The sequence below is a fragment of the Homo sapiens genome, chromosome 1, assembly GCF_000001405.40.
Source record: "Homo sapiens chromosome 1, GRCh38.p14 Primary Assembly".
NCBI lineage: Eukaryota > Metazoa > Chordata > Mammalia > Primates > Hominidae > Homo > Homo sapiens.
The window spans coordinates 45,723,998-45,737,170 of NC_000001.11; the positions used below are offsets into that span (position 1 = coordinate 45,723,998).

A 13,173-nucleotide genomic window follows, 5' to 3' on the forward strand; every position below is an offset into this window, starting at 1 on the left:
ACGGTCTCCTTCCACGGTCTCCCTCTGATGCCGAGCCAAAGCTGGACTGTACTGCTGCCATCTCGGCTCACTGCAACCTCCCTGCCTGATTCTCCTGCCTCAGCCTGCCGAGCGCCTGCAATTGCAGGCGCGCGCCGCCACGCCTGACTGGTTTTCGGTTTTTTTTGGTGGAGACGGGGTTTTGCTGTGTTGGCCGGGCTGGTCTCCAGCTCCTAACCGCGAGTGATCCGCCAGCCTTCGCCTCCCGAGGTGCCGGGATTGCAGACGGAGTCTCGTTCACTCAGTGCTCAATGGTGCCCAGGCTGGAGTGCAGTGGCGTGATCTCGGCTCGCTACAACCACCTCCCAGCCGCCTGCCTTGGCCTCCCAAAGAGCCGAGATTGCAGCCTCTGCCCGGCCGCCACCCCGTCTGGGAAGTGAGGAGCGTCTCTGCCTGGCCGCCCATCGTCTGGGATGTGAGGAGCCCCTCTGCCTGGCTGCCCAGTCTGGAAAGTGAGGAGCGTCTCTGCCCGGCCGCCATCCCATCTAGGAAGCGAGGAGCGCCTCTTCCCCGCCGCCATCCCATCTAGGAAGTGAGGAGCGTCTCTGCCCGGCCGCCCATCGTCTGAGATGTGGGGAGCACCTCTGCCCCGCCGCCCTGTCTGGGATGTGAGGAGCGCCTCTGCCGGGCCGCAACCCTGTCTGGGAGGTGAGGAGCGTCTCTGCCCGGCCGCCCCGTCTGAGAAGTGAGGAAACCCTCTGCCTGGCAACCGCCCCGTCTAAGAAGTGAGGAGCCCCTCCGCCCGGCAGCCGCCCCTTCTGAGAAGTGAGGAGCCCCTCCGTCCGGCAGCCACCCCGTCTGGGAAGTGAGGAGCGTCTCCGCCCGGCAGCCACCCCGTCGGGGAGGGAGGTGGGGGGGGTCAGCCCCCCGCCCGGCCAGCCGCCCCGTCCGGGAGGTGAGGGGCTCCTCTGCCCGGCCGCCCCTACTGGGAAGTGAGGAGCCCCTCTGCCCGGCCAGTCGCCCCGTCCAGGTGGGAGGTGGGGGGGTCAGCCCCCCGCCCGGCCAGCCGCCCCGTCCGGGAGGGAGGTGGGGGGGTCAGCCCCCCGCCCGGCCAGCCGCCCCGTCCGGGAGGGGGGAGGGGGGGTCAGCCCCCCGCCCGGCCAGCCGCCCCGTCCGGGAGTGGGGTGGGGGGTCAGCCCCCCGCCCGGCCAGCCGCCCCGTCCGGGAGGGAGGTGGGGGGGTCAGCCCCCCGCCTGGCCAGCCGCCCCGTCCGGGAGGTGAGGGGCGCCTCTGCCCGGCCGCCCCTACTGGGAAGTGAGGAGCCCCTCTGCCCGGCCAGCCGCCCCGTCCGGGAGGGAGGTGGGGGTGTCAGCCCCCCGCCCGGCCAGCCACCCCATCCGGGAGGTGAGGGGCGCCTCTGCCCGGCCGCCCCTACTGGGAAGTGAGGAGCCCCTCTGCCTGGCCAGCCGCCCCATCCGGGAGGGAGGTGGGGGTGTCAGCCCCCCGCCCGGCCAGCCGCCCCATCCGGGAGGTGAGGGGCGCTTCTGCCCGGCCGCCCCTACTGGGAAGTGAGGAGCCCCTCTGCCCGGCCACGACCCCGTCTGGGAGGTGTGCCCAGCGGCTCATTGGGGATGGGCCATGATGACAATGGCGGTTTTGTGGAATAGAAAGGCGGGAAGGGTGGGGAAAAAATTGAGAAATCGGATGGTTGCCGGGTCTGTGTGGATAGAAGTAGACATGGGAGACTTTTCATTTTGTTCTGTACTAAGAAAAATTCTTCTGCCTTGGGATCCTGTTGATCTGTGACCTTACCCCCAACCCTGTGCTCTCTGAAACATGTGCTGTGTCCACTCAGAGTTAAATGGATTAAGGGCGGTGCAAGATGTGCTTTGTTAAACAGATGCTTGAAGGCAGCATGCTCGTTAAGAGTCATCACCACTCCCTAATCTCAAGTACCCAGGGACACAAACACTGCGGAAGGCCGCAGGGTCCTCTGCCTAGGAAAACCAGAGACCTTTGTTCACTTGTTTATCTGCTGACCTTCCCTCCACTATTGTCCTATGACCCTGCCAAATCCCCCTCTGCGAGAAACACCCAAGAATGATCAATAAAAAAAATAAATAAATAAATAAATAAATAAAGAGTTCAAGACCAGCCTGGGCAACATAGTGAGACCCCATCTCTAAAAAAAAAAAAAAATGGCCGGGCATGGTGGCTCATGTCTGTAATCCCAGCACTATGGGAGGCTGAGGCGGATGGATCACCTGAGGTCGGGAGTTCGAGACCAGCCTGACCAACATGAAGAAACCCTGTCTCTACTAAAATTACAAAATTAGCCGGGCGTGGTGGTACATGCCTGTAATCCCAGCTACAGAGGAGGCTGAGGCAGGAGAATCGCTTGAACCCGGGAGGTGGAGGTTGTGGTGAGCTGAGATCACCAGATCATGCCATTGCACTCCAGCCTGGACAACAAGAGCAAAACTCCATATCAAATAAATAAGTAAATTTTTAATGAGCCATACATGGTGATGCATGCCTATAGTCCCAGTTACTTTATTATTTAATAATTCATAAAAACAGTTTTACAAAACACCATGATTTCGACCAAGAAATATATCCTACTATTTTGTTGACTTGGTTTTTACGTATCCAGTATCCATACTGCTTGGTTTATTAAATGAATCATTATGCAGCTTTCAGAATTTAAAAAAATTCTATCATAAATATTGATCTAAATTTTGATGCCACTTTTTTTTTTTTTTTTGAGATGGAGTTTCGCTCTTGTTGCCCAGGCTGGAGTGCAATGGCGCGATCTCGGCTTACTGCAACCTCCGCCTCCCGGGTTCAAATGATTCTCCTGCCTCAGCCTCCTGAGTAGCTGGGATTACCAGCACCCGCCACCATGCCCAGCTAATTTTTTTGTATTTTTTGTAGAGACAAGGTTTCACCATGTTGGCCAGGCTGGTCTTGAACTCCTGACCTCAGGTGATCTGCCTGTCTCAGCCTCCCAAAGTGCTAGGAGGGATTACAGGCATGAGCCACTACGCCAGGCAGGTGCCATATTCTATAAACAACTTTTCTTTTCTTTTTTGAGAGAGGGTCTTGCTCTGTCACCCAGGCTGGAGTACAGTGGCACGATCATGGCTCACTGCAACCTCTGCCTCCTGGGCTCAAGCAATCTTCCCACATCATCCTCTCAAGTAGCTGGGACTACAGGAATGTGCCACCACATCTGGCTCATTTTAAAATTTTTTGTAGAGATAAAGTCTCGATATATTGCCCAGGCTGGTCTCAAACTCTTGAGCTCAAGTGATCCGCCTGCCTTGGCTTCCAAAAGTTCTGGGATTACAGGTGTGAGCCACTGCACCCCGCCACAACTTCATTAAAACCAAACCTAAGTATTCTGGCTTGTGATAAATCACAGAATTCATCTGATATGAAATATTGACCATCTTGCCCTTCCCCTTCCCCTTGCCCTTCTCTTCCCTTTCTCTTCCTTCCCTCCCTCCCTCCCTCCTTCCTTCCTTCCTTCCTGTAAATACTTATTGAGGACAATTAGATATATGTATATCACATAGCAACATATAAATCATAAAGCATATTAGAATATAGCCAACAAGACTAATTAAGAAAATAAGACATTTTTATTATTACCTCCAATAGCGTAGACCATCCCTCCCAGAACTGTTACTCCCAGCCCACTTCGAGCCTGATGAAGTGAAGACACAGTGGTCCAGTACTGGCTAAAGGTGTCAAAACGTTCTACACAGCTGAGGGCTCTGCTATCACTCCAGCGACCCCCCTGCAACCGAGTATATCCACCTAAACAAAAGAAGAAAAGGTAGTAATGAAAATCTACTGTTCTACATCTAAACATTTAGTATAACTACTATATAACAAGAAATAAATGGTTTAGAAATTACTTTCTCTATATACATATAATGTAATATTCTTAAATTTGCCAATTCCTGAAAGATTGTGGCTTAAATACAGTAAGAAGGTTAGCCTCAGTGTTTTACCACTTGGTCTTGGTTATAAATAGAATATTATATGAAATATAAATCTAGGCACTGCTTATCTGTTAAATTAGGAAAGTTTCATTATAACTTTCATTAATGTCTTTTTCAATTAAAAATAGTGAGTTGAAAGCTGTGTGTGTGTGTGTGTGTGTGTGTGTGTGTGTGTGTGTGTGTGTGTTTGAGGCAGGGTTTCACTCTGTCACCCAGGCTGGAGTGCAGTGATGTGATCACAGCTTACTGCAGCCTCGATCTTCCCTCATCAACCTCCTGATGAAATCCTTGTTTTGACTACACATCCAATCGGCAAAAAAATTTTAAGAAGCACCCAAAAGCATTATACTTAAATATTAATACATATATGTAATTATATATATGTAAATTATAAATTATCTCATACATAAGGTACTTACATAAAAACAGTATTATGTATACAGATCTGGACTATATGTATCAATATGCTATATATTATATGTATTTTAAATGCTGATAAAGTTTAATGCTTTTTTTTTCTTTTTTTGAGACAGGGTCTTGCTCTGTTGCCCAGGCTGGAGTGCAGTGGTACAATCTCTGCTCACTGCAACCTCTGCCTCCTGGGCTCAAGTGATCCTCCCACTTCAGCTTCCCAAGTAGCTGGGACTACAGGCACACACCACCACACCAAGCTAATTTCTGTATTTTTGCATAAAGACAAGGTTTCATCATGTTGCCTAGACTGGTCTTGAACTTCTGGGCTCACACCATCCTCCCACCTCAGCCTTCCAAAGTGCTGGGATTACAGGCCATGAGCCACCACATCCAGATGTAAGTTTAATGCTTTTTAAAATAAAAATGAAAAGAAGTTGTAATATGTGGCAGGGCACAGTGGCTCACGGCTGTAATCCCAGCACTTTGGGAGGCCAAGGCAGGCGGATCACAAGGTCAGGAGTTCGAGACCAGCCTGGCCAATATGGTGAAACCCTGTCTCTACTTAAAATATATATATATATATAGGTATACAAAAATTAGCTGGGCATGGTGGCGCATGCCTGTAGTCCCAGCTACTCAGGAGGCTGAGGCAGTAGAATCGCTTGAACCCAGGAGGCAGAGATTGCAGTGATCCGAGATCACGCCACTGCACTCCAGCCTGGGAGACAGAGTAAGACTACCTCAAAAAAAAAAAAAAAAAGAAGAAGTTGTAATATGTTCCTCTGATATTCCTATGGATCATCTTTTATAACCACACTTTGGAGATCATTGGTTCCTATCACTCCTAATGACTAGGATACTGTGAATAGTTTAAAAACTTGAGATTTATTTTCTTTATTTTTCACAATAATTCAAATTTTTTACTTTTAAAGCAGCACTTCTTTAGTCACTTATTTGATAACTGGATAATCTACGAACTCAAAGGTTTAGATCACAGAATAACAGATATCAAATGAATAGCTATTTCTTTTTAGACATATTTGTCATAATATATAAATGCAGTTTATAAATCTGTAGTCTGTATGTGAAATTAAATATGCCTCTTCAACACACCCACATATTCTGACATGTATAGTAATAACAACAAAATATTAAAAAGGTTTGATCTGGAACACAAATATAATTTCTATTACTTTTTTAAGGGCTCTCTCACCTACTGCATACAGGTACTTTCTTGCTTTCTTCCGAGGTCGAACCTTAGATGTCTGCAGAAAACTACAAAACTTGTTCTCTTTGGGAGATTTGCATACTTCACAGTACTCTTTCAGAAGTGTTTGCAATGCAACACGAAGATTAAAATCGGATACTCCTAAAACAATATTTAAAAAGACAATGTTTTAAACAATTTTTAAATAATATTGAAAAAACACATTTCTATAAAGATAAGATACATTTAACCATCAAGAAATAAAAAATCATCATCAAACAATGGTGTTTGTTTCCTACAATACCAAATATTGGTACTGACTATTTTAAGGGAAGTATTTTCTTCACTAATGAAGAATAAAAAAGGTTGTTGTTAAAATATATGCTTCATATATAAGCAGAATAGCAACTAAAAAATATATATGCTTCACAGTATCCCCCCATGCATAAGAATTTCCAGGCCAGACGTGGTAGCTCACGCATGTAATCCCAGTACTTTGGGGGGCCAAGTCAGGTGGATTGCTTGAGCCCAGGAGTTAGAGACCAGCCTGGCCAATGTGGTGAATGAAACCTTGCTGCTACAAAAAATACAAAAATTAGCTGGGTGTGGTGGCACATGCCTATAGTTCCAGCTACTCAGGAGGTTCATGTGGGAGTACCACTTGAGCTCAGGAAGCAGAGTTTGCAGTGAAGCAGGATTGCACCACTGCACTCCAGCCTGGATGACAGGGTGAGATTCTGTCTCAAAAATAAAAAAAAAAAAAGAAGAATTTCCAAATAAAGATTGCAAACTGAAACAAGATCACAATTATCTAACAAAATTTAAAAATTAAAATAGCCACAAATTCTATACTTACAACGTAACAAAAAAGATATAAAATTATGTCATTAACATTTAAGAATGATAGACAAAGCAAGAAAAATAAATTCTGGTGGCATGAGTACCATATCCTAAAAGGATTATGCATATGATGAGGTAGGTTGTCCTTGCTCAAGCATGCTTAGCTGAGGAGGTAAACGGCATGAGAGTCAACCTGTGTTCATTTGCCAAGTTGTAAGACCTGTTCTCCCTGAAAGGGCACTATTTCCTAATTTGCACAAAGGCATTATAATGCTAGCAAGAGATTGTCTCCTATCCTTCCATCTCTAATCTTTTCTCTGTATCCCAGACAAGAAGCAATATTGAAGAAAAATGGTCAACTAACAAAATCTTGAGAATTCTCACTAATAATAATTTGCAGACAGAATCAAGAATGAAAAGCAGAACTGAGAAAAGTTGAGGAACAAAATCATTAAAAGGGAAAGTCTTTACAAGACCATCAGTTAAGGTAGAAAGGATCACCTGGATTTGCTCTCTAACAGAACACTGTGCTAGCCAAAGTCCACACTAGTGGGATACATCTCTGGCTAGGTTAAGTAGACCCAGATATAAGATAAATAACAAGAACTCAATAGAGAGATATCAAAGTCAAGTTCCTAAGTAAGGATCTCAGCCCTAGTGGATCTCTAGTCTTCAACCACCCTCATGCCTCAGGCTAGAAAGAAGTGGCAAGGGCCAGCACAGTGCCTCATGCCTGTAATCCCAGCACTTTGGGAGGCTGAGGTGGGAGGACTGTTTGAGGCCAGGAGTTCAAGACCAGCCTGGGCAACACAGTGAAACCCTGTCTCTACAAAAAATTTTAAAATGAGCTGGGCGTGGTGGTATGAACTTTTAGTTCCAGCTACTCTGGAGGCTGAGGAGGGAGGATCACTTGAGCCCAGGAAGTCAAGGCTTCAGTGACTATGACTGCCCTACTGCATGACAGTGTGAGTGACAGAGTGAGACTCTGTCTCAAAACAAAACAGAACAAAGGTGGCAAGAACACAACACATAGCCTTCAAATTTTAGACTAGAGAAAACAAAGTAGTTGTACTAGGTAGAAAGAGTGCCAAGGAGAATTAGTTCTTGTATTAACAGAACAGAGTTTGAACAGAGTTGACATGAACAACAGTTCAGTATGAGCAAGATATCAAGAAAGAGCATATGCCTTATTAAAGTACATCCCAGGGCCAGGTGTGGTGGCTCACGCTTCTAATCCCAGCACTTTGGGAGGCCGAGGGGGGTGAATCATGAGGTCAGGAGTTAAGAGACCAGCCTGGCCAACATAATGAAACCCTATCTCTACTAAAAAATACAAAAATTAGCCAGGCATGGTGGCACATGCCTGTAATCTCAGCTACTCAGGAGGCTGAGGCAGCAGAATTGCTTGAACCCGGGAGGCAAAGGTTGCGGTGAGCCAATATCACGGCCACTGCACTCCAGCCTGGGTGACAGAGCAACACTCCGTCTCGGGGGAAAAAGAAAAAAAGTACATCCCAGGAAAAAGAAGATAAGAGAGTGAAGAATTCAGTCAGAAGAAAACATCAGCTACAAATAGACAGACTCCTCGTAAGTGCTTCACATGATACAATTGTTTAAGAATGTCGCTCCTGGCCAGGCACGGTGTCTCATGCCTGTAATCCTAGCACTTTGGGAAGCTATGGCGGGTGGATCACCTGAGGTCAAGAGTTCAAGACCAGTCTGGCCAACATGGTGAAACCTCATCTCTACTAAAAATTACAAAAATTAGCTGGGCGTTGTGGTGGGCACATGTAATCCCACCCACTTGGGAGGCTGAGGCAGGGAGAACCGCTTGAACCCGGGACGGGGAGGTTGCAGTGAGCCGAGATCATGCCACTGCACTCCAGCTTGGGCAAAAGAGCGAGACTCCACCTCAAAAAAAAAAAAAAAAAAACACAAAAAACAATGTAGGTCCTGCAAAACAAGAGCTCAAATACAGATGAGATGCATTGCTAAGAAAACAAAGTAAGAAATGAAATGACAGTATTGTAGAGTTAATAAATTAGAAACAATAGATATGACTGAAAATCAAATTACTGATGTGGAGGAAAAGCTTGAGAAAATAATTGTGAATAGAGAGAAAAAATACTGTAACATTAGAAGATGATAAATATGAATGACAAAGAAGTTCCAATAAAAGGAAGAAGACTACCAAATGAAACATTTAAAGTATTTTTATTTATTTATTTATTTATTTAGAGACAGAGTCTAGCTCTGTCGCCCAGGCTGGAGTGCAGTGGTGCGATCTCAGCTCCCTGAAAGCTCCACCTCCTGGGTTCACACCATTCTCCTGCCTCAGCCTTCCGAGTAGCTAGGACTACAGGCACCCACCCCCACGCCTGGCTAATTTTTGTATTTATAGTAGAGACAGGGTTTCACTGTGTTAGCCAGAATGGTCTCAATCTCCTGACCTCGTGATCTGCCTGCCTCAGCCTCCCAAAGTGCTGGGATTACAGGTGTGAGCCACCGTGCCCGGCCTTGAAACATTTAAAGTATTTAGAAATTTCACATAAGAAAATTTCCCCAAAATGAAGGAAAAACTAAAATTTCAAAGAGAAAAGATATATGGCAGTCTAATGAAAAAATGATCAACTTCAAAACAAATCAAGAATAATGAAAGAGAATTCCTTAGATATTCAATCAGAAAAATCAAGTCATGGCCAGGTGCAGCGGCTCACGCCTGTAATCCCAGCACTTTGGGAGGCCGAGGTGGGCAGATCACAAGGTCAGGAGTTCGAGAACAGCCTGGCCAATATGGTGAAACCCCATCTCTACTAAAAATACAAAAATTAGCCGGGCATAGTGGTGCACGCCTGTAGTCCCCAGCTACTCAGAAGGCTGAGGCAGAAGAATTGCTTGAACCCAGCAGGCAGAAGTTGCAGTGAGCTGAGATCACACCACTGACTCCAGCCTGGGTGACAAAGTAAGACTTCATCTCAAAAAAACATAAATAAATAAATAAATAAATAAATAAGCAAGTCATTAAAAAAAAAAACCCCAAAATCCAAACTATGCCTTACAAAATTTGAGGAGAGGAGACATAGGAGAATCATTATAATTAAAGAATATTGGCCAGGCATGGTGGCTCACGCCTGAGCACTTTGGGAGGCCGAGGCAGACGGATCACCTGAGGTCAGGAGTTCAAAACCAGCCTGGCCAATATGGCGAAACCCCGTCTCTACTAAAAATACAAAAATTAGTCGGGTGTGGCGGTGGGCATCTGTAATCCCAGCTACTCGGGAGGCTGAGGCAGGAGAATCGATTGAACCTGGGAGGCGGAGGTTGTAGTGAGCCGAGATCACGCCATTGCATTCCAGCCTGGGAGACAGAGTAAGACTCCGTCTCAAAAAAAAAAAACAGTATTATGCCCACCCAAATTGGTGTGAAATTTAAAAAGCAACACATAGAAATTCTCAAATATGAAGGAATTCAGGAAACACAGTAATCATGAGGCTTTCTTTAAAAAAGCACTTGATGATGAAATCCAGCCAACCAAAACAATGCATATTAAAAAAAATCATCAATGAAAAGACCATGGTCAAAAAGCTGGTAGAGAACATCAAATCCATTTAAATTCAAAACTAAAAGGACAGAGCTAGGGGAATCATGACTACAAATATATATATAAATAAGGGCTATACACCTTGACACAAAAAAAGGAGTGGAAAGAAAAATAAAAATGCTAATTACCTAATTTTTCTTAGCAAAAAGTTGATACTGTTTAAAATTGAAATACAATTTGAAACTATGATTCTTTTAATGATTTTCATCTTTTGTCCTTAATTCTACATGAACCTTTTAGAATAAATATTTCTTGGGACAAGGGAACATAAATCTGAAATTAGTTATTACTTCAGTTTCTTCTTTTGTTAACTTATAGCAAGATTTAGGTAAATTTTTTGTATTATAAATAATATGTATAAAATTATTTTTATTTTTATTCTTTTCTTCCTTATTTTTTTTTCTTTGAGACAAGAGTCTTGCTCTGTTGCTCAGGCTGGAGTGCACTGGCACAGTCATAGCACACTGCAGCCTCAAACTCCTGAGCTCAAGTGATCCTCCCCCATCGGCCTCCCACCAAGTAGCTGGGACTACTAGTAGGCACCACCATGCCAGGGTAATTTTAAATTATTTACTTATTTATTTATTTAGATACAGAATCTCACTCTATCGCCCAGGCTGGAGCGCAGTGGTGAGATCTCGGCTCACTGCAACCTCTGCCTCCTGGGTTCAAGCAATTCTCCTGCCTCAGCTTCCTGAGTGGCTGGGAATACAGACATGCACCACCACACCTGGCTATTTTTTTTTCTTTGAGACAGAGTCCTGCTCTGTTGCCAGGTGGGAGTGCAGTGGCACAAACTCAGCTCATACCAACCTCCACCTCCCAGGTTCAAGCAATTCTCCTGCCTCAGCCTCCCAAGTAGCTGGGACTACAGGTGTGTGCCACCACACCCAGCTAATTTTTATATTTTTAGTAGAGACAGGATTTCACCATGTTGGCCAGGCTGGTCTAGAACTCCTGACCTCAGGTGATCTGCCTGCCTTGGCCTCCCAAAGTGCTGGGATTACAGGCGTGAGCCACTGTGCCCAGCCTAATTTTATTTGCTTTTATTTTGAGATGGAGTCTTGCTTTGTAACCCAGGCTCCAGTGCAGTGGTGCGATCTCAGCTCACTGTAACCTCAACCTCCTGGGTTCAAGTGATTCTCCTGCCTCAGCCTCCAGAGTAGCAGGGACTACAGGCACATGCCACCACGCCCAGCTAATTTTTGTATTTTTAGTAGAGACAGAGTTTCACCATATTGGCCAGGCTGGTCTCGAACTCCTGACCTCAAGGGATCCACCTGCCTCTGCCTCCCAAAGTGCTGGGATTAAAGGCATGAGACACCACACCCAGCAACTAATTTTAAATGTTGTTTTTGTAGAAACAAGGTCTTGCTTTATTTTTTATCTTATTTTATTTTTTATTGATTTAATTTTGCTTTTTTTTTTTTTTTTTTTTTTTTGAGACAGGGTCTCATTCTCTAACCCAGGCTGGAGTGAAGTGGCATGATCACAGCTCACTGCAGCCTCGACCTCCTTGGCTCAATTGATCCTCCTAGCTGGGACTATATGCAAGCACCACCAGACCTGGCTATTTTTTTTTTTTTTTTTTTTTTTTTGTGAGATAGAGTCTTGCTCTGTCGCCAGGCTGGAGTGCAGTGGTGCGATCTTGGCTCACTGCCACCTCCGCCTCCTCGGTTCAAGCAATTCTCCTGCCTCAGCCTCTCGAGTAGCTGGGACTACAGATGCGTGACACCACACCAGGCCACGCCTGGCTAATTTTTAAAAAAAATTTTTTTGTAGGCCAGGCGCGGTGTCTCACGCCTGTAATCCCAGCACTTTGGGAGGCCAAGGAGGGTGGATCATGAGGTCAGGAGATCAAGACCATCCTGGCTAACATGGTGAAACCCTGTCTCTACTAAAAATACAAAAAATTATCCGGGCGTGGTGGCACAGGCCTGCAGTCCCAGCTACTGGGGAGGCTGAGGCAGGAGAATCACTTGAACCCAGGAGGCGGAGGTTGCAGTGAGCCGAAATCACACCACTGCGTTCTAGCTTCAGTGACAGAGCGAGACTCCATCTCAAAAAAAAAAAAAAAAATTTTTTTTTGTAGAGACAGGGTCTCACTATGTTCAGCCCAGGCTAGTCTCAAACTCCTGGTCTCAAGTGATCATCCCGCCTTGGCCTCCCAAAGTGTTGGAATTACAGTTGTGACCACCACGCCGAGCCTATTGTTGTTTTTATATTTCTGTATTACCTAAACTTTTTATAATAAGCATATTCCATTTAAAGATAAGTAAAATCATTCTCTAAAATATAAGAAACAGACATATAATCAAATATCTAATAATATTAAATTGCCTAAATTATTTCAGTTGTAAGTACAATAATATATATACTATGGAAAAAAATCTACGCATTTCATGTAATATAACTTAACCATTTAAGATTTTGCTCCCTCTGAATTTTATAGTCTCATTTTTCTACACAAGTTGCTTATATTTTCTCCAATATGATCAAAGAGGAAAAGTTTCAAAGTTGAAAAATATTATGGTTGCCTTAAAAAAAAATCAATTTACTTCTCCCTTGATCGTTGCAGTATTTTCCTTCACTGAAATACCACTAGATGATAACTACTGGGCATGCTTAAAAAACACTTCGGGACTTGAATTAGACACTCTCACTGTGTCTAATTTTAAATTATAAATTATAATTTTAAAAGGCTGTAGGAGGCGGGCGCGGTGGCTCATGACTGTAATCCCAGCACTTTGGGAGGCCAAGGAGGGTGGATCAAGAGGTCAGGAGATCGAGACCATCCTGGCTAACATGGTGAAACCCCGTCTCTGCTAAAAATACAAAAAAAAAATTAGCCGGGCGTGGTGGCGGGCGCCCGTAGTCCCAGCTACACGGAAGGCTGAGGCAGGAGAACGGCATGAACCCGGGAGGCGGAGGTTGCAGTGAGCCGAGATCGCGCCACTGCACTCCAGCCTGGGCGACAGAGCGAGACTCCATCTCAAAAAAAAAAAAAAAAAAGAAAAAGCTGTAGGAAAACATGTCCCATTTCTAGGGGACACTGCCTTGCTCCTAGCAGAAGAAATTTCTGTTAGTACTCTGTGTCTGCTACACTTGGAAAAACCAACTCA

General features: G+C 45.2%; 1 protein-coding gene across 5 annotated transcripts in view; it reads right to left on the minus strand.

Moving 5' to 3' along the window:
• IPP (intracisternal A particle-promoted polypeptide) overlaps nucleotides 1-13,173 on the minus strand; it is a 56,330-nt gene that overhangs the window by 29,674 nt on the left and 13,483 nt on the right. For all 5 annotated transcript variants that reach the window (NM_001145349.2, XM_047419673.1, XM_006710623.5 and 2 more), the window contains exons 4-5: nucleotides 5,617-5,772; nucleotides 3,634-3,801 (exon numbers count right to left, since the gene is read on the minus strand). In NM_001145349.2, the coding sequence (NP_001138821.1) occupies nucleotides 3,634-3,801; nucleotides 5,617-5,772 (324 nt within the window). The remainder of the gene's footprint in view (nucleotides 1-3,633; nucleotides 3,802-5,616; nucleotides 5,773-13,173) is intronic.